Genomic DNA, 20,043 nt, shown 5'->3' with positions numbered 1-20,043 from the left:
GTGGCCCAGGACACCCTGGCATGGTGTTCTTCCCCCAGGGGCGCCTTCGATGTCCCTCTCCTCTGCCAGTGGCTCTAAGGCCTGGGGATCTTGTCTGCTCGTGCCAGGCACCCCCGGGCCAGGCCATCTGCTGCCTCTGTCTCCCTGCTGAGGCTGGCACCGGTCAGCAGGGTGCCTTGGCTTTGCCAAGAACCAACCCGGCCCCAGGGCAGCTCTTTCCTTGTACTAAGCCATCTGGAAGGGCCTTCTGGTCTCTAGGGAAGGAAGGGTGACCCTGGGTTACTGCAAATGAGGAGGACTCTCTGGCTTCCCATTCTAGGGATGCTAAGAGGGATACGAGGAGCCCTCCTCAATCAGCCAGCCAGCCACAGTCCCCAGTCTCCCCAACTCCCTTCACTGCCCCCAGCTCCCCAGCCATTGATTGCCCAGTGAGTGAGGTTCCTGGCACCTGGCCACTCTGCTCTGTAAACTAGATCCACCATGCTGCATAGGCCTCTCTCTCTTGGCCTTGGGCCCCAGCCCCCCTCCTCCGACCCCTGCCCCATCCATCCTGATCCACCCCATCCACCTCTGCCCCGGGGTCTAGTTCTGATCCCACTCTGCTCCATTCAGACACTTTCTGCTTGTCCACCCAGTTAAGTCTAAATACTTTCTCTCAGCAGTTATGACCACTCATCATCTGGCCTCAGCCTCCCACTTCCCACCCTTTGCAGCCTAATCTGCTACTTTCCCAGCTGCGCCCCAGCCAATGTGGACTAGTGACTTGCCTCAACCCCCCTCCACTTGTCTGCCCCTGGGCACTTCCCCTCTGCCCAGCAGGCCTCTCCTTCCAGTCTCCAGCTGCTCGTTTTTCCAGACCCAACTCAAATGCCACCTCTTCCAAGCACTGTTCCCTGGCCTGCCATTTCTCTGACCCCACAGCTCAGCTTTGTCGCTGCCTCTCTTGTGACTGCCTCATGGGTTCGCTCTATCACCATCCTCTGTGCCTTTTCCCACCAGTAACTCTGCGAGGAGTCGCTGTAGCGCCTGCTCAGGGCCATCCTGGGTACACCATGGTGTTCCAGGTCTCAGTAGAGAATGGATGTACCAGGCATGACTTCATTCCTGCTCCTGGGAGGGTGGAGGGCCCTTGTCCTAGGGCTGAGTGCTGAGTTCCAAGGGTCTCTAACCTGCCCCTGCCCCTCTTTTCCCCTCCTGGGCCCCCTCATAACCATCTCTTCTCTTATTTCCATCAGCAGCCAAACTACTGGAGTTTCAAGGTCAGTGTGTGATGCCTCTGCTCCCATGACAACTGCATGTGCTCTCCCTCCCCTGCCCCTGCCTCTCCCTTGCACAGGCTTTGCACCGGGGTGCGCATCTGCACGGACACCTTCTGGTATGGGCGGTGGGCCTCGGGGCTGCAGGCTGTGGCTGCTGCTTTGGGAGAGTCTGGGTTCGCCTGTCAGGGGCTTGTGGATGGAGTAGGAGTTTGGGCCACCCCTGCTGGGGATCTGGGCTAGAGATGCTCAGTCCCCAGGCATCCCCAGCCCCTGAGGGGCATTTTGAAATGACATACATTTTCCCCAGCCTGGAGAGACTGCTGCCTCTGAGTTAGGGACTTAGACCCTTGTTGTGGGCCCTCTTCTTTGAATTCATATCTCACCTCCCAGGGAGGCCCTGTGACTGTGATGGGTCCCCCTTCCTTTTCTTACTGTCCACCATGGGGGCTGGTCCGTGCTAGGCAGGAGACTCATGGTCCTACACCCTCAAGCCTGTTGTCTAAGTGGAGGGCTAAGCTGAGGGATAGGTGCCTTCTTGCCTCCTCCTGAGCTCTGGCCTTTCCAGAGCTAAGACAGCTGTCTGCCCCTCCCAGGGTATCCTGTTGACCCCTGGGAGAGCACCCTCAGGCACCTGCTTGCCTCCTGGAGTCTCTGGCCTCCCAAGTCCCAGGCATCATGACAGCGGGTGGGAGGCATCCCACCCAGACTCCCCAGGTGTCTTATTTGCATGCATTCTTCCTAGCACTGCAAGAAGTCCTTGAATCAGAGAATCATGGAGTCAAAGTCACACTGTCAAGCATAGCCTCTTTGGAGGAGGCAGTTGAGGGTAGTGGTTAAGCGCATGGACCCAAGAGCCAGGCTGCGTAGTGGTGAATTCCATACAGTCTGCTGCTAACTAGCTTGGTGACCTGGGGCAAGCCACATATCCTCTTAGCCTTGGTTTCTCCTCTGTAGAGTAGAACGACAATGTCTGCATCATAGAATTGTTGTAAAGATAGGGAAAAAAGGCCGGATGTGCTGGCTCACGCCTGTAATCCCAGCACTTTCGGAGGCCGAGGCATATGGAATGCTTGAGCCCAGGAGTTTGAAACCAGCCTGGGCAATGTAGTGAGAACTTGTTGGCCAAGGAGGGAGGCTGAGGTGGGAGGATCACTTGAGTATGGGAGATTGAGGCTGCAGTGAGCTATGTTTGCACCTCTGCGCTCCAGCCTGGGTGACAGAGGGAGGCCCTATCTCAGAAAAAAAAGAAGAAAGAAAGAGAGAAAGAGAGAGAGAAAGAAGGAAAGAAAGAAGGAAGGAAGGAAGGAAAGAAGGAAGGAAGGAAGGAAGGAAGGAAGGAAGGAAACGAAACAAAACAAAACAAAACAAAACACGAGAGGATGCATGTTCCAGGCAGTGCCTGGCTCCTGGTGAGCCTTACATGGTAGCTGACCTCATTAGCTACTAAATCATAGACTCTGCCTTGATTCTCAAACCTAGAAATCAGAATCGCCTTAGGAACTTGTCAAAAATCTCGAACCCCAGGCTCCAATCCCCAGAGATTCTGGTTCAGTGAATATGGGGTCCTGGAAAGGTATTTTTAAAAGCTCCCAAGTGATTCTTCCCTAGTCTATGGACAACCTCTGGGAATCTCAGATCCATGAGCTGCTCCCTGGAACACTCTGGTGATAGGCGCTCTCTACCTCCCATGGTGGTCCCTCTCCTGTCTTGGGAGAGCTCTGCTTGAATCACTGTTTTGTTCTTCTGCCATCTCCCTTATGGTGGGGAAGTCCTGGATGTTTCACTTTCCTCTGCCCTATTGTCTCAGCCCAAGCATGGAGAGAAGTGCCAGCAGGTTTTCCCTCCTCTCGAGAGGGTTTTCTGTACAGGCTGTGAGAATGGAAAGGTGCCCACTGGGCTAGGAAGTGGTGGAGCAGGGAACGTGGGCATCTCTTCTCCCAGGGTTTCTGCCTTCTTGGCAGGCAGCAACCCCCAGGATCCCTGCCCTGCCTCCCTTCATTTGGACCCCTGTTCTGCCTCCTTACTGGCATCTCACTGGTGTCCCCCCGGCACCATGGCCACCCCCTACTCTTCATCGTTGCTGGCTGCCTCGTGCTGCCTGAATTCTGTAGCCCTCATCCGCACTAGCCTGGCAACCACTGACCTTTTAGTTGCCAGGCAACCCCATGACCACCAGACCAGACCTGGTTCCCCACACTGCCACAGAGCTCCCCGCCCTTCAGCTGGGATGAAGGTGAGACAGAGGGGTGTGGGCTGGCACTGGTGGTCAGCCTAGAGCTGAGCCATAGCCTCTCGGTCACAAGCACAAGCGGCCCCTCCCTACTGCCCCTGGCCCATTTCTATGCTGCCTTCCTCCTGCCAAGACCCACACCCACCCAGTGGTCAAGGCATTATGCTTGAGAGGGGAAGCTCCCTGATGTCCCCACGTCTGATCTATTATGGTCCCCAAACCCTCAAGGCCACCTTGGGGACAGCTGGGCATACTGCCCATCAGAAGAAGATGCTCTCCCTTTAAGAGTGCTAATCCAATTGGAACATTAAATTGAGTTAATATGAAGATGGAGATTAATTAGGGGTAAATCAGGAATTGGGGAGAGAGGGAGCTGAAGAGGAGAATAAATGATTCCTTTTTAGAGATATTTTATTGTTGTCTTTTTTTAAATTATAAAAGGAATCTATTCACACCGTTTTGTAGAGAAATCTATAAAGTGAAAAAAGAAAACTGTCAACCCTGAGATAACCAGTGTTAATGGTTTTGAGTGATTTGTTGTTAAAAATAGACAATTTGTTTTACAAAAAAATATAATTGGGCAACATGATTATTTCTTGACAGTATATGTATATGTAATACATATATGTATATAATGCACATAACATGGAATGATGTAGATCGGATTCATTATCTCACTCCTTGTACCAGCTTCTGTACAACAACCAGATTTCTTGCCCAGGGACTAAGGCAGAATGTCAGGGGCTGTGGCCCTGAGTGACATCCCCAGGTTTCAGCCAAAAGTAGGCTCTTAAAGTACGGTTGAAATCATCCTGACTCCCCCTCCCCCACGGAGAGAGCCATCAAGCTGTCCTGTGACATCCTCCCCCACCCCCAGCCAGATATCAGCCTCAGCTACAGCTTCAGAGAAGTGGCTGCCGTCACTCAGAGGCTCCTGGGGGAGGCTGGCTGGCTGTGTGGCAGCATGTGCCTTGCAAGGAGGGGCTGAGGCCTGGCACATGTGTGTCACATCAGACTTAACATGTGTGTTGTGGGCACTGGGCAGGTCGTCTCAAATCCGGGTCCAGCTGGCTTTGAGGAGTTCGGGATAGTTTTCTCAATCACCCTAAATCAGGCACATTCCCTGTGTCCAGCTCTGTCAGGGTCCGCATCCCCTCAAAGCTGGGATCCTGGGGTGCCAGCTCTCTTTGCTTTCTCCCTGGGCCCTGCTTCCCGCCCCCACCCCCACCCCCACCCTCTGAACTCCATGAAGAATAAATTCTCCGCTCACAAACCTGCCACTTAATTAATGTCTGGAACTAATGCCCCAATTTGCTCAACGATTCTGCTGCTCACCTCGGTGACAAATTTGTGTTGTTCTTCGGAAGCCTGAAATAGCAGCCGTGCCCATGGCTCCCACTCACATGGCCTCTTGTCTGGCTTCCCAGGGTGCCTGGGTCCTTTGCCCATTCCTTACCTGCCGGGTGTCCCAGGGAGGCCAAGGCCAGCAGAGACTGGGGAACTCTCTTGTGGCCATGCCAGGAGTCTGTAATCTGTGTGGGAGTCTGTAATCTGTGTGGGTGTCGCTGGCTGGCAGGACCTTCCCAGGCCTGGATATGGGCAGTGACAAGCAAAGGGGAGGGGGGGTGCTCATCCTTGGTTCCTCTCACCCTGCCCGGCCCCTGCAGACCCGCAGCTCACGCCACACTCAGGGAGCCCAGCCCGGGCTGGCAGACCAGGCGGCAAAGCTGTCCTACGCCTCCGCCGAGTCGCTGGAGACCATGTCGGAGGCCGAGCTGCCCCTGGGCTTCAGCAGGATGAACCGCTTCCGACAGAGCCTGCCTCTCTCCCGCTCGGCCAGCCAGACCAAGCTGCGCTCCCCAGGTACTGCCCGCCCAGTCCACCCTCCCTCCCCACACAGGCTCCTCCCTCTGCTCTTCACTCCCTGGAGCCCCCTCCTCCCCTACAGCACGCCAGCTCGCCTCAAGCTCTGCTCTCTTTCCCACAGCCCCTTCTCCCCAAGCAACCCCAGCTCTCTCCATCTCTCTCTCGCCCTCAGCATCCCCACCCGACCCCTTTCCCTCCAAGCCTCCTCTCTCCCTCTTGCTTCCTTTTCTGTCCCTTTCTTTCATCCCTCCCTTCTCTCCCATCTCCCTTCTCTAACTCTCTCCAACCTCTCTCTCCCTCAGCTCACTTCCCCTCAGTTTCCGCCCCACCTGCTCTGCCCCCACTTCCATTTCCTTGTCCAAGTTCCTTCAACTGCCTGGAGTCCAGTGGGTGCCTTGAGAGGCTGGAGAGCCGGCCTGGCGCCCCCGCCGGCAGCATGAGAGGTGCCTGGGTGCATCTGCACTCGGGGGCGGCGTCTAGCCTCAGACCCTGCCGCTGCGGGGCTGGCGCAGCTCCGAAAAGCTCCCCGCGCTCTCCTGGAGGGCGGCGTGGAGACGGCAGCAGTGACAGCGAGGGCGGCGTCTCCTTCGCAGGGGTGCTGTTCCTGCAGTTCGGGGAGGAGACTCGGCGCGTGCACATCACGCACGAGGTCAGCAGCCTGGACACGCTGCACGCACTCATCGCGCACATGTTCCCGCAGAAGCTCACCATGGGCATGCTTAAGTCGCCCAATACCGCCATCCTCATCAAAGACGAGGCTCGCAACGTCTTCTACGAGCTGGAGGACGTCCGGTGGGCGTGGACCGGGGGGGATTTGGGTGGGCTTCCCCACGCTCCTCCTCTGCAGGGTGCTGGACCCCGCCGGCCCTTCCCCAGCTCCTTCCTGACCCGACCTCAGCCTTTCCCCTCCCCTCCCAGAGCCCTACCGCCCCGCCCCCTTCCTCGGCCATCTCAGCCCCCACCCCCTAAATCGTCCACCCCTGCTGGTTCCCTTTGCTTTGAGCTAACCTGAAAATGGCGCCGGAGGCCAGGAAGAGGCCGGGGTGGAGGCTGCTGGGCGTGTGTGCAGGCAGCCTGAGATGGGGCTCCCGGTGCCTCTGGCCACCCCTCTTCTCTAGGCCTGGAGTAGCCATCCCTTCTCATTGTGCACAGCTGGGGGATGGGTGGTGACCCCCGTCTCCCCGCCTCTCCCAGGGACATCCAGGACCGCAGTATTATCAAGATCTACAGAAAGGAGCCCCTCTACGCTGCCTTCCCTGGCTCACATCTCACCAACGGGGACCTCCGGGTATGGCTGGGCATGCCCAGGGCATTGGGGAGGCTGGGCACATGGGGTCCAGGGGAGCAGGGTCTGGGCAGTTGTCATCTGGAACCAGGGCCAGCTTTGGAGAAGACAGCATAGGGGCTGAGGGGTTAGGGAAGAGCCCCTGTCCCACCTGCCACTTTCCCCTCCATTCCGGGCCTGTCCACTCGGGATTTTGCTAACTTGCCTCCAGATATTCTAAGCCCTCTCTCAGGAGCCGGAGCCACCCCTTCCCCTTCTACTTCCCACCCCTCACGGTAGCTGAGCTGAGGGTTACCCCTCTGGTGCCTCTTCATCGGCCACCTTTTCCTCCATGCTAGGAACCCTGATGGGAAAGGGACCCTAGACGCAGCAGGATGGAGGGAGGGCAGAGAGCAGAAGGGACTTCCTAAGCGTCAGGGAGGAGATGCTGGCTCCTCAAGCAAGGGACAGGGGTGTCCTTGGTGACCAGCCCCGTGGGGTTCCGGGCTGTCTTCTGCGCAGAGAGAGATGGTGTACGCATCGCGGGAGTCCTCGCCCACGCGGCGCCTCAACAACCTGTCACCAGCGCCGCACCTGGCATCCGGCTCGCCGCCGCCCGGGCTGCCGTCGGGGCTGCCGTCCGGGCTGCAGTCCGGTTCGCCGTCGCGTTCGCGCCTATCGTACGCCGGGGGGCGCCCGCCTTCGTACGCCGGCAGCCCGGTGCACCACGCGGCCGAGAGGCTGGGAGGCGCCCCGGCCGCCCAGGGCGTCAGCCCCAGCCCCAGCGCCATCCTGGAGCGGCGCGACGTGAAGCCGGACGAGGACCTGGCGAGCAAGGCGGGCGGCATGGTGCTGGTGAAAGGCGAGGGCCTCTATGCTGACCCCTACGGGCTGCTGCACGAGGGCCGTCTGAGCCTGGCCGCGGCCGCCGGCGACCCGTTCGCCTACCCGGGCGCCGGCGGCCTCTACAAGCGCGGCTCGGTGCGCTCGCTCAGCACCTACTCGGCCGCCGCGCTGCAGTCCGATCTGGAGGACTCCCTGTACAAGGCGGCGGGCGGCGGCGGCCCGCTGTACGGCGACGGCTACGGCTTCCGCCTGCCGCCTTCGTCACCGCAGAAGCTGGCCGACGTGGCAGCACCCCCCGGAGGTCCCCCGCCACCGCACAGCCCCTACTCGGGGCCGCCCAGCCGCGGCTCGCCAGTGCGCCAGTCCTTCCGCAAGGACTCGGGCTCCTCGTCCGTCTTTGCCGAGAGTCCTGGAGGGAAGACCCGCAGCGCGGGGAGCGCCTCGACGGCCGGAGCTCCCCCTTCGGAGCTCTTCCCTGGGCCTGGGGAACGCTCGCTGGTTGGGTTCGGGCCGCCAGTGCCAGCCAAGGACACGGAGACCAGGTGAGGGACGTTAACCAGGCCTCAGGGACTGGGGGTGGGGGGTGCGCTGCGGAGAGGGTTCACAGCAGAGTCCGTGGCAGGTGTGTGTCCTGGACTGAGATCCTGGAGTCCTTTGGAGACCTTGAGTAGTCTTGAAGGGTCGCCAGAGAGCATCTTGGATGTGGCAGAGAGGGCATTGGAGAGACCAGCTTGCCATTTTCCTCCCATCCGCAAGACTGGAGGGGGTGGTTGAGAGGTCCCCAGACGAGGACTCTGGAGACTTGGGTTTGCATCCATTTTCTAAGCCTCGGTTTCCCCAACTGTAAAATTGAGGGGTTGAACCACTTTTAGTGGCTTTCCAGCTTAAGAGTTTGCAGCAGTGAGAGCTGTCCAGCACCGGGACAGCTGAAGTCCACTGGGGAGGAGGGTGCTGTTGAAAAATGGTGACGAGGAAAGGAGCACATTCGGGTACCTAGCCTCCAGGCTGAGGAGCCCCTGCCCATCGCTCAGTCCCCTCCTAAGGGTGCAGGGCTGGAGGAGGTAACCAGGGCAGTAGGTAATCTGCACCCTCAGGCAGCGCTGCTGAGCAGTGAAGAGAAGCCATTGGCCTTCACACAGCTCTTACGTGGCCTGTGTGGCAGGCGCTGCACAGGGTACTGTCAATGCCAAGCTGAGCAAACCCAGTTCCTGTCCTGGTCTAGTGGGGAGACACTCAGCATACCTCCACTTCCCTTGGGTGGTATGGAAGGAGGCGTTCCTCGGGGCCCCTGGGGTCTGTGGAATGGTTTGGGGGAGGGGTCAGGAGAAAGGCAGAGCAGGCAGGGGAAAGCATTGCCAGGCATGGAGAGATCAGCGTGCAGCCTTTAGGGAGGGAATGAAAGGTGAGATGGGAGGCTGTGGGCTTGATCCTTAGGCATTGGGGCCCTTTGCGTTGTCTGTGTTTTGGCAGCCAGGGATGGGACGGTGTTTCTTCTGGTTACCAATCTTAGGAATGGGGGGCTGGGCAGGAGAGACCCTATGCTCAGAGGCGAGGTTGCCCAGACCCCCTTCCTCCCCAGGGAGCGCATGGAGGCCATGGAGAAGCAGATTGCCAGCCTCACAGGCCTGGTGCAGAGCGCCTTACTGCGAGGCTCTGAGCCTGAGACCCCCAGGTGAGGCCCCTCTCCCAACACCACTGCCAGGGCCTAGGGGTGGAGCAGGAGGAAGGGGAAATGGGCATCGGCTCTGCCAGTGTCTCACTGGGTGACCCTGGGTGAATCCCTTCCCTTCTCTGGGACTCCATCCTGAGATCGGAGAGCTGGAGGAGATGACATCCAAGGTTCCACCCAGCTCTGAAGGTCTGGGGCTGGCCTGGACCCCCTGATGGCTTTTTTCCCTGTGCCACAGCGAGAAGATTGAAGGCTCCAATGGAGCAGCCACCCCCTCAGCACGTGAGTGAACCTCCCCCTCCCCCATCCTTGTTCTCTCCGAGCCTGTTTTCTAATCTATAAAGTGGGGATTAAGCAATAGCTACATCACTGGCCTTAGCCCAAGAGGTCTTTTTCCTGGCACTTTGGTCCCCACCGTTAGGGCTGACCACTTGGGGCAGGTAGAGCCACGGGCTTCTCTGGCTACTGTGTGGGGTCGGAGAGTAGGGAGGACTTTGTCCCAGCCCAGTCCTTCCCAGGCTCACAGTTTGTTCACTTTCTCCCATCCTCGTGGTCCTCTGCAGCCTGTGGGTCAGGCGGCCGGAGCAGCGGGGCCACCCCGGTGTCCGGCCCGCCCCCGCCCTCGGCCAGCAGCACCCCCGCAGGTCAGCCTACCGCCGTTAGCCGGCTGCAGATGCAGCTTCACCTGCGAGGCCTGCAGAACAGCGCCAGTGACTTGCGCGGCCAGCTCCAGCAGTTGCGCAAGCTCCAGGTACCGCCCCGTCCTGGGCCCCGCCCCACCAACGCCCACCTACTGGTAGAAGTCCCTTGCCGCAAGTCCCGCCCCATCCCCTACTACCTCATCCTTTTCCCAGAGCTTCCACGCCCGAGTCCTTCGCCGCTCACTGGCCTCTCTCCGAACCCTTTCTCCCCTTCCCCTTTCTTGAGCTTCCGCTCCCTCGCTGAACCTCCACTTCCTCACCAAGGCCTTATCCCTCGCCCGTGACCCCCTCATTGAGCCCTCCTTCTCCTTCCCTGAGTCCCCATCGCCCTCCTGGAGCCCCAGTCACCCACTGAGCCCCTCCGTCGTCAGTATCCCTCGGGGCAGTTCCAGTTCCTTCCTGCCCTGCATCCCTTTCCCTGAGTCAGCGAGAGCCCTTCCCCCAAGTCCTCTCAGCTCCTCCCTCCTGAGCCCCAACAGTCTCCCCGGCCCTGCTTGGCAGATGGTCCCACCTGTCAGGAGCTTGGCATCGCCGAGTCCGCTCCTCAAGCAGGCCCAGGGGCCGTCAGGTGAGGATAATTAGCAGAGACAGGCTGGGGAGGGGGCAGAGAATTGCCATCTGGGCAACGGGTAAGATCTTGCCCACCCCCGCCATTCAGGCTTGGAACAGGGTTGGATCGATCATCAACTTAGTCTTCCTGTCCCAGCCATAGAAGCTCTATCAAATGCCAGCGCTTGAGTCCTTCATTCCAGTCCCGTCCCCATTCCGGGATGATGGAAGCCATAGCCATGCGGCCGCACTGTCGGCAGGGACCTACATAGGGCTACACCCTGTCCCGCAAATATTCCCAACCCCTTCTCCTGCCTCATATTCCCCAGAACTTAACCTTGCCCTCCTCCCCCTGCAATACCACCCCTGCTCGCGGCCACAGCCATGCAGCTCCCCCTTTGCATGGCCCATTTTAACGCTCCCCTCTCCACGATCCCCATCCGTTCTCCTCCTGCCTCTGTTCTTCCCCAGAACTTAGCCCTCTGCCCCTGCCCTTCGCCATCCCGCCCCTGCCCTTCGCCATCCCACCCCTTCGCTGCTGCCTGAGGCGGAGCCAAGCAGCCGCTTCTTCTGCAGAGCCCCGCCCTGGATTGGGCAGTCCTCTACCCGCCTTCTCCCGGCCCTTCCCCTGCCTCGCGGCTCCGCTCCCCCCACCCGGGTCCATCCGTCCGTGCGTCCCGCAGCTACAGAACCAGGAGTCGGTGCGCGCGCTGCTGAAGCGCACGGAGGCAGAGCTGAGCATGCGCGTGTCGGAGGCGGCGCGGCGGCAGGAGGACCCGCTGCAGCGGCAGCGCACCCTGGTGGAAGAGGAACGGCTGCGCTATCTCAACGACGAGGAGCTTATTACCCAGCAGCTCAAGTGAGGCTGGGCCCGCGGCGGAGGGAGGGGTGGGGGTGCGGCTGGAGTGACCCGCAACCTGGTTTCCCTGGGAGGCGCAGCTCCCTTCCCTCTGAGTCACAGGTGGCGTTGGTCTGTTCTGAAGCCTGATTTCATTCTCCTCTGGCCTGATTTCACTGTGACCCACAAACTTTTGACCGGCTGGCATTATTCCTGATTTCTTTTTTCTGGCTTGATGCCTGCTTTTGCTATGGTCTTGCTTCATAATGATCCACACTCAGGCTTCCTGTGGCCTGCAGCTTCACTGTCATGTGGCCAGCTGCCTGATTTCCCTCTGCCCTCTGCCTACTTTCATTTTGGCCTGTGACCCGTGCAAAGTGACCCTTGGGTAGTGAGTTCAGGTGCAGCGTTCAGGTGCCGTCACTGCTCCAGCCTGGCGCTGACCAGCCATCATTGGAGATCCGATTCCCTGATCTCTGAGTCCAGATATAGCCAAGGAAAACCCACCTTCCTTCCTAGTGCAGCTGGAACAGGGCTGTAGTGTTTTCAGAAGGAAGGAGGAATCGCGAACACTGTGCCTCCGCATGCTTAGGCATGGAGGGGTTAACAGAAGACAGTCTTCTGATCCAAATTTAGCAAATGGCTGTCTGGCCAACCATTCCATTGTCTGGCACCTTTGAAGGGAGACGCTGCCTTTCAGTGTCCATTCAGGGAGTGAGCACCCACCCTGCTTTCCCTCGCCAGTGATAAGGATCTGAGACAGAGGCCCTGCTCCTTCCTTTGGGCCCTCTCTTGGTGACACAGGGCACTAGGGGACCTGGAGTCCAGTGCCAGCACTGAGAGGCTGAGTGATCAGGGCAGTTCCTGCCCCTCTCTGTGCCCCAGTGTCCTCATCTGTACCCAGCATTAAGTTTTTCACCTCTCTTTTCAACAAGGGGTTGAGTTGTACTGGCCAGTGACTCCGGGAGCCAGGAGAGGCTGCTCCTTGGAGCCCAGCTTCCTCACTAAGTCATAAATGAGCCTCTTGCGACGGGCTCCTTGAGATGGGTTGCTGCTCCTCAGCCTGAGGCCCACATAGCCTGGTGGTACATGTGCATTTTAGCAAGGCCCAAGGCAACAATTCCCATGACACCATGTGGCTGAAATAGGGTAAGGGGCCACCCCATCACTCTAGGTGTGATAACTTAGTGAGGACTCCAGCCAGATCTCCAAGCAGACTGGCAGGTGTCATCTCTCCTCACCCAGGGAATTCCATTTCTCCAGATTTTCTATCCTTTCCTTGTCCCTTTTCATTCAGCCCAGAGGAGGGGGGTTGGAATTTTCAAAAGCAACTTTACCGAGACATTAAAGGAAAATTAAAGGAGATCTAAAAGCACAGAGCCAGAAGATACGAAAGGAGAGATTTATGCTACCGTCATTATAAGTGTTTGGTCCTTGGCTCCCTGAAGGCCTTGGTTCTCCAGGAACACAGACTCCCCAACCCCTGCCCCATTATCAAACCCATTACTCAGAGAGCTTGGGACCTGCATTACTGTTTCTGGCAGGATTCTCCATCCTCCTGAAAGGGGACTCCTGCTTCTTCTGGGTTGGGCAGATACTGGGCTCCAACCTGGCCATGAAGGCCCTCCCTGCCCAGCTCCCATAGCCTTCCCAGGCTTTAACCCTGCAGCCCCCCTGCCCCACACTCTGGCTGTAGCTCGTGGTTACTCCAGGAGCTTACGCTTACTCTTGCTCCAATTTGCTATACCACTTCCTCTTTCCTGGCAACTTGCTGGAAGTTAAAACTGGTTCTGTTTCATTCAACTTGACTCACTCACCTGCCCATCTAGCCCAGCACTTAAGGTCTGTCTGGGCACTGCCTTTAGGTGCAGCCTCTGCTGACTGAGACCTTTTAGGTCCTGGAATCTACCTTTGCCTAACCCAGGTCCAGCTTTGTAGGTATGCCACGTGTGCGGTCACGCGGAGCCCCATGCTTGGAAGGGCCCCATGCTTGGTGTAATGCTCTGCTGTTGCCATCTTGAAATTCTTAATAATTTTTAAACTAGAGGTAACATTTTCATTTTGCATTGGGCCCCATAAATTATTTAGCTGGTTCCATTTTGACTCTCCCCTCTTGACCCCTCCAGGACTAAACCTGGGCTTGGAAAGCCTAGCCACATTTTAATCCAGTGTCTAGACTAGCTGGCCTGGGACTCATTTGCAGAGCTTGCCCAGGTTAGAGGCCCCCCAACTTTGGCAGATTGGGTGATCAGAACATCAAGTTGCCGATTGAGCTTAGGGAGGCCTAGTCTCTCCTGCCTAAGAATTGCAGTGTTGTCATCTCCTGGAAGCTTATTTGAGTCCTTTACATGAGAGTCTCTTCCCCCTCTGAGTGATGTTTGGGAGTGACCATTTTATAAAACTGGCACAGCCTGGACCAGTCAGGTGTTACACATATGAGCAGGGGAATTGTTCTTTCCCATGTGGTAGAGCGAGGGCTGGGCTAGGACAGTGTATGGATTGGGGGCAGCGTGGCTGATGTTGGTCTAGTGTGAAAATGAGATGCAGCAGAACCAATGGCTGATGTCAGATGTGAGTAGATCCCGCTTTGCTGCAAAATAGCTGTATGACCTTGAACTAACTAGTTAATCTCTTTGAATATCTGAATATCTTTTTTTCCTTTTTTTAAAATGCCAGAGTCTTAGGATAGCTAATTAATTAGGGTAGCTTCCTATAACAAATAAGCTCCCAAATTGTTTAATAATTCAAAAGTAATAAACATATCTTTCTCATGGAACAGTATTGGGTGGGTTAGGCGGGTGGCTCTTCTCCATGCAGTCATTCAGGGACCCAGGCTGATGGAGGTTCTGCCGTCTTCAACATGTGTTTTCCAAGATCACCCAGAGAGTTTCCAACCAATGGAAAAGGAGAAAGGAGCATGGAGGACCTTACATGGGAGGTTTTTGTGAGCCAGGTCTGGAAGCAGCATGTATCCCTTCCACTCATCTTCCATTGGGTAGACTTCAGTTAAATGGCCACTTATCATTGCAAGGGAGGCTGGGATGTGTAGTCTAGGCTCTGAGCCACTGTTTGTCTGTGTATAAGCTGGAGATAATAACTGTTCCCACCTCCAGGATTTGTTTTGAGGGTTAATTAAAGTAATGAAAGCCAAGGCCTGAGTGTGGCACCTGGCATACAGTAAGTGCGTAATACAGGATAGCTCTTTAACTGGTAGTGTTGCTGAGTCACAAGCTTTTGCCCTTGACTTCAACCCAGTCTGTCTTTTCACCTGCTAGTTGGATGAAGATGTGTAAGGCGTGCTGATAAGATTTGCTGATGACACAGAGCTTTAAGGGGGAGCAAATCTGTTGGATGGTAGAACTGAAATTCAAAAGTTGTTTGCCCCTGGATTGAGCTGAAATCCAACAATGGGATTTGACAGGAATATATATAAAGTCCCGCATGTGAGTCAGGGATGTCAGCGACTCAAGTACAGAACTGAGATGACTTACCTGGGCAGCAGTTCCTTCTCTCCCTTGTTCATTCATTCCACAATTATTTCCCAGACATCTACTCTGCACCAGGCACCATGCCAGGTGCTAGAAACCGGAGATGAATCTGGAAGACATGGTCTTTGCCTGCCTGGGGTTAGTAGTCCAGAAGGCTGCACAACCCAGCCAACAGGAGCTTCAGCGGTTTGGAGGGCAGGAAGCAGACCCAACAGCCGCAAGGGGAGGGGCTGGAGGACAGCTTCCCACTGAGACCTGAGGATCAGTGGGAGTTAGCACGTGTGTGTGCCTGTATGTGTATGGGTGAATGGAATATTCTAGGCAGAGAAAACAGCATTATAAAGAGCCAGAGAGGACAGCACATGTAGCACCTCAGAGCAGGTCTGAAGGGCTCTAAGCAGAAGCCAGATGAGATGAGGGTTACAGCAGCACGGAAAACAAGAGCAGTTCCCAGGCACTGAGCCCTTTGCCGCGTGCTTTCCTGTCTTCATTAGCTCATCCAATCCACCTGATGGCCCCCATGAAGGGGGAACTCTTTTTTTTTTTTTTGAGACAGAGTCCCACTCTGTTCCCCAGGCTGGAGTGCAGTGGCATGATCTCGGCCCACTGCAACCTCCGCCTCCTGGGTTCAAGCGATTCTCCTGCCTCAGCCTCCCAAGTAGCTGGGATTACAGCCGCACGCCACCATGGCCAGCAAATTTTTGTATATTTAGTAAAGACAGGGTTTCGCCATATTGGCCAGTTGGTCTCGAACCCCTGACCTCAGGTGATCAGCCCACCTCGGCCTCCCAAAGTGCTGAGGTTATAGGCTTGAACCACCATGCCTAGCGGGGAGCTCTTACCATCCCTATTTTTTGGACGAGGAGGTTGAAGTCCAGAGATATTAGGTAACTTGCCCAAGATCTCTCCTCTGGCAAGGGCAGAGTGAGGATTGGAGCTTGGATCAGTCTGACTCTAGAACCAAGTTTTCAACTACCACCTTCCTGCCCTTCTTGGCTGCATTGAAAAGTTTGGATGTTAGGCCTCAGGATGATGGGATCCATTTAGCGTTCAATGGCACAAGTGAAGACCTGATCTGATTTACAATTTAGAAGAATGTAGGGTCTCAAATGACACAAGTTCAGCATATAGTAGCTGAAAATCTAACTCAGCTTTGGCCCTCAGGAAAGAGGCTGTGTGGCTGGATCATGTGAGAGAAGGGCAATGGACATGGCAGTTTCCCCCGAGACAAGAGACCTCCCCGGGGGCACGTGCTCTGCCTCTGGTTCTTTGAAAGGCAACTAAGTTCTCTCTGCTTCCTTGGCAGAATAGAATCAGGGGATGCAAGTTACAATGAGAGATACTCGGGCAGATATTGCTGAGGGTCAGAGCTTCCAAGGGGGCAGATGGTGCAGGGCACCTCTTAGGGAGCGCTTCTGAAGTCTCCTCATCTCTGAGATTTGGCGTTGCAGATTTTACTTGAGTATGTGGCCTGATGGCTGGCTTTTATGTTTGTATGCTTTTGAGACAAGGTCTCCCTCTGTCACTCAGGCTAGAGTGCAGTGGCACAATCACGGCTCACTGCAGCCTCAACCTCCTGGGCTCAAGTGATTCCCCCTGCCTTAGCCTCCCGAGTAGCTGGGACTACAGGCACCTGCCACTACATCCAGCTAATTATTTTATTTTTTTGTAGTGATGAGGTCTCCCTATGTTGCCCAGGATGGTCTTGAACTCCTGGGCTCAAGTGATCCGCCTGCCTCAGCCTCCCAAAGTACTGAGATTACGGGCGTGAGCCACGGTGCCCAGCCTCCTGCTTTTACTTTCGATCCAACTGGTGGCCTGATTTCTTTCCAGTTGCCCAATTTCAGGGGGCTGGGCTGGCATCTCAGGCCAAAAGGGCTGAAAGGGTCTCTCTGTGGCTGCAGTGACCTGGAGAAATCGGTGGAGAAGATCCAGAGAGACGTGTCCCACAACCACCGGCTGGTGCCCGGCCCTGAGCTGGAGGAGAAGGCACTGGTGCTGAAGCAGCTCGGGGAGACGCTGACAGAGCTCAAGGGTGGGTCTGGGGCCTGCGAATGCAGCACGTTGTTCAGGGTGGGGAAGTCTGCCATACTCCAGCCACCATCCTCTCCTCCCAGTCTGTGGTGCTCCCTCTGGCCCCAGCTCATGCCTTCCTGTCTCCTCAGCTCACTTCCCGGGCCTGCAGAGCAAGATGCGGGTGGTGCTGCGCGTGGAGGTGGAGGCGGTGAAGTTCCTGAAGGAGGAGCCCCAGCGCCTGGATGGGCTCCTCAAGCGCTGCCGCGGGGTCACGGACACGCTGGCCCAGATCCGAAGGTCATTCTGTCCCTGACCTCTGATTTCCCATGGGTTCACACACCGGGCCCAGACCCATAGGTCATACTGAACCCTTACCCCAACTCCCCCAAAGGTCACTGGCGTGCCGACTGGACTGGCACCTCAGCTCTGCCCTGTGACCCCTGCATGCTGTAGACCTGGCTTCCTCTTATACCAGGGGCAGTCACTCCTCCCCAGGCCCTCCCACAGCATCCCAGAGCCTGCCTCCCACCCCACCTCCCTCAGAGCAGCCTTCCTGCAGAAGGGTCACCACCTGCTGGCCTCACAGCTGCTCCCAACTCTCCCAACCCCAGGCAAGTGGATGAGGGTGTGTGGCCACCCCCCAACAATCTCCTGAGTCAGTCCCCCAAGAAGGTGACGGCAGAGACTGACTTCAACAAGAGCGTGGACTTCGAAATGCCACCCCCCAGCCCCCCGCTGAACCTGCATGAGCTGAGCGGGCCAGCTGAAGGAGCCTCTCTTACCCCCAAGGGGGGCAACCCCACCAAAGGCCTGGACACTCCTGGCAAGAGAAGCGTGGACAAAGCTGTGTCTGTTGAGGTGCTGGGGCCAGGGATTGTGGGTGGGGCCATGAGCCAGGTTCACACATTCTTACGACCATCCTTCCTAGAGTGGGGAGTGCCAATCCTGTGGGTCTTTTTCCTTGGGGGAGGAGGGCCAGTGCCCTAATGGAAGCCTAAGAAGCATAATGAGGGTGACATTAGCCCTCCTAGACAGAAAGCGTATTATAAAGCTACAATAATCAAAGCAGTATGATGTTTGCCCAAGAATAGACTATGTAGTCAGTGAAACAATAGAATGCCCAGAAATAGATCTAAGTTTATCACGAATGTAGTATATAATGAGGGTGGCATTCCTACCCATGGGGATGCCATGTGATACCCACGAGAAGTCAAAGTGTCTTCCTGGAGGTGGGATCAAATATGAGGCTTCGTTTTCTATTCCTTGCCTACGTGGCTTGGGGGAGGAGGCTGAGGCCCCAGAGGTCCTGGAGCAGGAGAGCTACCTCAATCCTGACTCCTGGCTCCCTGTTAAGGCTGCAGAGCGAGACTGGGAGGAGAAGCGGGCAGCCCTGACCCAGTACAGTGCCAAGGACATCAACCGGCTGCTGGAAGAGACACAGGCAGAGCTGCTCAAGGCCATCCCTGACCTGGACTGTGCCAGCAAGGCCCATCCAGGCCCGGCCCCCACTCCAGATCACAAGCCCCCCAAGGCCCCCCACGGCCAGAAGGCAGCCCCCCGAACGGAGCCCAGTGGGAGGAGGGGCTCAGGTATGGGGAGTAGTAGGGCTGGTAAGGAGCCCAGCGTGGGGGAGTGCCCTCCTCAGGAGCCCAGGCTGATGGGGGAGGCACTGGGATCTCAAGATCATTGTGGTTGGGCTGCCACACAAGGGAGGCCCTGGGACATCGGCTGCCACTAAAGGGAGACTGGGACCCAGAAGGACAGGGCAAGCTGGACTCCATCCCGGCATTTCCCACTGTCCTGGGAAGGGAGCCACTGAGAGGACCAGGCAGGGAGCAAGTCCAGGCAGAGTCATCCGCCTCCACGGCTTGGCTGGGCACATGCCCCAAACCAGGCTGTGTTGAGGGCGGGTTGAGCGCTGATACTGCTGATACTGACACAGTTCCCATGGTCCCCAGCCTGAGTCACGGTCCCGGGAGTGGCAGAAATCCAGACCAGAAGTGGCAGTCATCATTCCTTCATTTTATTCATTCCTGCAATGCATATTGGTTAAGTACCTACTGTGTGCTAGGTGCTGGAGATACGGAAATAAGACAGGGCTTGCTTTAAAAGAGCTCAAAATTTAGTGGGGGGAATAACACTGACATTTGTGTTTATCAAGCACTTACTCTGTGATAAGAACTGTTCCATTGCTTTTACTGTAGTCATCCTTATAATTTTATTTTTATTTTTTATTTATTTATTGTTTTTGAGACGGGGTCTGTCTCTGTCGCCCAGGCTGGAGTGCAGTGGCGCTATCTTGGCTCACTACAAGCTCCGCCTCCTGGGTTCTCGCCATTCTCCTGCCTCAGCCTCCCGAGTAGCTGGGACTACAGGCGCCTGCACCACGCCCGGCTAATTTTTTTGTATTTTTAGTAGAGATGGGGTCTCACCGTGTTAGCCAGGATGGTCTCGATCTCCTGACCTCGTGATCCGCCCACCTTGGCCTCCCAAAGTGCTGGGATTACAGACTTGAGCCACCACGCCTGGCCTCATCCTTATAATTGTATAACAAGCTCAGGAGGCAGACACGGTAGTTATTCCCATTTTACAGAGAAGGACATAGGCTCAAAATGATTAAGAAATCTGTGCCGGACCATGCCTAGTATGTAAACCAGAAATAGAATGCAAGTGCTAAATGTAATAGCAGAGGTGAATGCCGGTACTGTGCAGTCCTGGCGGAGGCCCTAGGAGGGCAGGAAGGCTTCCCTAAAGATGTGACTTTTCACTGAAATCTTGCAAATGAGTGGGCACTTCCCTAGCTAGTGAGAGCGGGTACTCCAGGGTGAGGGAACAGCGTGTGCAAACGCCTGAAGGTGTGTGTGTGGCATGGCCTGAACAGGGTCCAGCCTGGGGAGCAGCAAGCAGAGCTGAGGCTGAAAGCTTGGCAGGTGCAGAGGTGCTGGCCTAAGGAGCTTGGACATGGTTTGGGGTGATGGGGAGCCACTGCAAGATCAAAGGCAGGGGAATGGCTAGAGTGACCTCTCTGCAGGTTACCCCGGAAGCAGGGCTGGAGGACAAATTGGGGGAGAGGAGAGCCCAGTGGGAGGGGCCAGGATCCCTGGAGGAGAGATGGAGAGCTGAGCCGAGGCAAGGGTGAGGGGCAGTGGGAAGGAGGTGGTTAGAGCAGCGCCTCTCTAACTTGAATGTGTGTCCGTCACCTCAGGATCTGTTCAACCAGATCCTGGTTTAGCAGCCCAGAGGTGGGGCCTGAGCTGCAGTTCTGACAAGCTGCCAGGCGCTGCCAGTGCTGCTGGTCCACAGACAACACTTGGAGT

The 20,043-nt window shown here is 56.6% G+C and overlaps 1 protein-coding gene and 1 long non-coding RNA gene across 9 annotated transcripts in view, besides 8 other annotated features; one reads left to right on the top strand and one right to left on the bottom strand.

Annotated features, from left to right (window-relative positions):
• SRCIN1 (SRC kinase signaling inhibitor 1) overlaps nt 1-20,043 on the top strand; it is a 76,995-nt gene that overhangs the window by 37,556 nt on the left and 19,396 nt on the right. For 4 of the 8 annotated variants that reach the window (XM_017025171.2, XM_017025170.2, XM_017025173.2 and 1 more), the window contains exons 4-16: nt 1,236-1,259; nt 5,157-5,352; nt 5,949-6,147; nt 6,550-6,643; nt 7,142-8,007; nt 9,045-9,137; nt 9,373-9,416; nt 9,698-9,885; nt 11,068-11,243; nt 16,615-16,745; nt 16,876-17,023; nt 17,338-17,584; nt 18,081-18,315. In XM_017025171.2, the coding sequence (XP_016880660.1) occupies nt 1,236-1,259; nt 5,157-5,352; nt 5,949-6,147; nt 6,550-6,643; nt 7,142-8,007; nt 9,045-9,137; nt 9,373-9,416; nt 9,698-9,885; nt 11,068-11,243; nt 16,615-16,745; nt 16,876-17,023; nt 17,338-17,584; nt 18,081-18,315 (2,641 nt within the window). Of the gene's footprint in view, nt 1-1,235; nt 1,260-5,156; nt 5,353-5,948; nt 6,148-6,549; nt 6,644-7,141; nt 8,008-8,993; nt 9,138-9,372; nt 9,417-9,697; nt 9,886-11,067; nt 11,244-16,614; nt 16,746-16,875; nt 17,024-17,337; nt 17,585-18,080; nt 18,316-20,043 lie in introns of all 8 variants that reach the window. The other 4 variants (NM_025248.3, XM_017025172.2, XM_017025169.2 and 1 more) reach the window with 3 other exon arrangements.
• Nucleotides 2,927-3,435: an enhancer, noted in NCBI's record as "H3K4me1 hESC enhancer chr17:36722271-36722779 (GRCh37/hg19 assembly coordinates)". NCBI's record gives its function as "activates a minimal SCP1, AML or CMV promoter by ChIP-STARR-seq in naive and primed H9 embryonic stem cells {active_cell/tissue: H9 hESC(naive and primed)}" and the evidence as "EXISTENCE:reporter gene assay evidence [ECO:0000049][PMID:30033119]".
• LOC105371761 (uncharacterized) lies at nt 3,883-5,176 on the bottom strand. Its single transcript, XR_007065740.1, has 3 exons — nt 4,946-5,176; nt 4,825-4,857; nt 3,883-4,594 (listed from the first exon to the last, which is right to left on the bottom strand). It is a non-coding gene; the product is annotated as an uncharacterized LOC105371761 (long non-coding RNA).
• Nucleotides 3,978-4,529: an enhancer, noted in NCBI's record as "H3K4me1 hESC enhancer chr17:36721177-36721728 (GRCh37/hg19 assembly coordinates)". NCBI's record gives its function as "activates a minimal SCP1, AML or CMV promoter by ChIP-STARR-seq in primed H9 embryonic stem cells {active_cell/tissue: H9 hESC(primed)}" and the evidence as "EXISTENCE:reporter gene assay evidence [ECO:0000049][PMID:30033119]".
• Nucleotides 4,530-5,082: an enhancer, noted in NCBI's record as "H3K4me1 hESC enhancer chr17:36720624-36721176 (GRCh37/hg19 assembly coordinates)". NCBI's record gives its function as "activates a minimal SCP1, AML or CMV promoter by ChIP-STARR-seq in primed H9 embryonic stem cells {active_cell/tissue: H9 hESC(primed)}" and the evidence as "EXISTENCE:reporter gene assay evidence [ECO:0000049][PMID:30033119]".
• Nucleotides 5,636-6,188: an enhancer, noted in NCBI's record as "H3K27ac-H3K4me1 hESC enhancer chr17:36719518-36720070 (GRCh37/hg19 assembly coordinates)". NCBI's record gives its function as "activates a minimal SCP1, AML or CMV promoter by ChIP-STARR-seq in naive H9 embryonic stem cells {active_cell/tissue: H9 hESC(naive)}" and the evidence as "EXISTENCE:reporter gene assay evidence [ECO:0000049][PMID:30033119]".
• Nucleotides 6,189-6,740: an enhancer, noted in NCBI's record as "H3K27ac-H3K4me1 hESC enhancer chr17:36718966-36719517 (GRCh37/hg19 assembly coordinates)". NCBI's record gives its function as "activates a minimal SCP1, AML or CMV promoter by ChIP-STARR-seq in naive H9 embryonic stem cells {active_cell/tissue: H9 hESC(naive)}" and the evidence as "EXISTENCE:reporter gene assay evidence [ECO:0000049][PMID:30033119]".
• Nucleotides 6,741-7,293: an enhancer, noted in NCBI's record as "H3K4me1 hESC enhancer chr17:36718413-36718965 (GRCh37/hg19 assembly coordinates)". NCBI's record gives its function as "activates a minimal SCP1, AML or CMV promoter by ChIP-STARR-seq in naive H9 embryonic stem cells {active_cell/tissue: H9 hESC(naive)}" and the evidence as "EXISTENCE:reporter gene assay evidence [ECO:0000049][PMID:30033119]".
• Nucleotides 7,847-8,400: an enhancer, noted in NCBI's record as "H3K27ac-H3K4me1 hESC enhancer chr17:36717306-36717859 (GRCh37/hg19 assembly coordinates)". NCBI's record gives its function as "activates a minimal SCP1, AML or CMV promoter by ChIP-STARR-seq in naive H9 embryonic stem cells {active_cell/tissue: H9 hESC(naive)}" and the evidence as "EXISTENCE:reporter gene assay evidence [ECO:0000049][PMID:30033119]".
• Nucleotides 18,528-18,737: a silencer, noted in NCBI's record as "fragment chr17:36706969-36707178 (GRCh37/hg19 assembly coordinates)". NCBI's record gives its function as "represses an EF-1alpha promoter that drives an FKBP-Casp9 reporter gene in an ReSE screen in both phorbol 12-myristate 13-acetate-treated (for megakaryocytic differentiation) and untreated K562 erythroleukemia cells {active_cell/tissue: K562 | K562(+PMA)}" and the evidence as "EXISTENCE:reporter gene assay evidence [ECO:0000049][PMID:32094911]".

The sequence above is a fragment of the Homo sapiens genome, chromosome 17 (genome assembly GCF_000001405.40).
Source record: "Homo sapiens chromosome 17, GRCh38.p14 Primary Assembly".
Classification (NCBI taxonomy): Eukaryota; Metazoa; Chordata; class Mammalia; order Primates; family Hominidae; genus Homo; species Homo sapiens.
Note: the sequence above shows the minus strand (reverse complement) of the source record. Positions and strands in the feature narration are given on the sequence as shown.